The sequence below is a fragment of the Homo sapiens genome, chromosome 6 (genome assembly GCF_000001405.40).
Source record: "Homo sapiens chromosome 6, GRCh38.p14 Primary Assembly".
Lineage (NCBI taxonomy): Eukaryota > Metazoa > Chordata > Mammalia > Primates > Hominidae > Homo > Homo sapiens.
This window is the reverse complement of record NC_000006.12, coordinates 30,439,180-30,440,653: the sequence shown is the minus strand read 5'-3', so window position 1 is coordinate 30,440,653 and position 1,474 is coordinate 30,439,180.

Sequence of the window (1,474 nt, the reverse complement as noted above, 5' to 3'; positions counted from 1 at the left end):
GGGCAACACAAGGAGACCCCGTATCAAAAAAACAAACAAACAAACAAACAACAAAAAATGCAATGTTTCAAAAGACTACATGAAGAATAGACTCAGAGATTGTCCTATGAAGACTGCCATAGTATAGGGCAGTAGTTGCAGGGAGACATGGGATCAGAGATCAAGGGATAAATTTCGATGGGAAGATTTTGTTTTGATTTGTTTAGTCCAGTTTTGTTTGTTTTTTTGGGGGGAGATATTACAGCACGTCTGCCTGTAGAAATGATGGGCCAGTAGAGAGTGGAAATTGATGATATAGGGGAAGGAAGGATTGATCTTATGCTTGAGTGCAGGGGTGGTCTTAGGAGCGGGGATCATCCATCATCACTGGTGGGAAGGCTGAGGATACAAGTGCAGATTTGGGGATAGTAATGGGATGGTGATGCATTTCTCACCTGGGTCCTCCTTTTTTTCCTGCGTGAAAGAGAAATAAATGTATAACCTAAAAATAGGGAGTGTGGAAGGAGTGGAGGGATGTGAGGGCAGAGAACAAAGTGAGAAACAGCCCCCTGAGGAATTGTAAGAGTGAACTGACCTGGGAGATGGCATTTGGAGAGTGCAGGGCTGTGGGCCACTGAGGTCTGTGGTCATAACTTTGGGGGTGGGAGAGAGAGAGAGAGAGAGAGAGAGAGAGATAGAGAGAGAGAGAGAATGGCACACATCCAGTAATGGGGCAGCAGCAGGAAAATATATAACTGACTAGAAGGAAATGAAACCACATATCTCTGCTGTAAGGATCATGGGATAGTTTAAATTTGTAATTGATCATTTGAAATATTTGGTAATTTTTCTGCAGTGAATATATATTACATTATAATGAGAAAAAGTTATATTTACAAATTAAAAAGGGAATGTTGATGGAGAAAGTGTAGATAATTTAGAAATATCAGAGAGGATAGAACATACTGAAGGGAATAAAAATAATTGCCTCTTTCCCCAACCCAACTCGGATCCCCATACCAACTACTCACATGCTCTGTTTTTAGAGGGACTCAAAAGCCTGTTTTATCCCAAATGCTTTTTCATAGGGTGACATGGAACTTTAGGGTAAGACTTGGCCTCTAGAATTCACCATTCCCTAGAGAACATGGTGCCCTACAGAAGAAAATCATCATCACTAACGTTGTCATTAGCACCACAAATTGCAGTACCAGCAATTGTGTCAAATGTGTTACAAGCCCTATTGCTATTTAATTTAATTTTCACACAAAAGAAAGTATTTACAGACAAAGAACTGAGCTCTATGAAGCCTCAAATAGCTTTCTGTATGTCATGCTGATCAGAGCAGTCCCAGGATATCCAGGTCTGTCTGACTCGAAGACCCAGGTCCTTTAAATAAATACATACTATTTTGGCTTTACAAGGAATGGGCAGTGTTTTGCACATGTGCCATATTCCGCTTCCTGTGCTGGTGTTTTGCATTCATTATTTCATA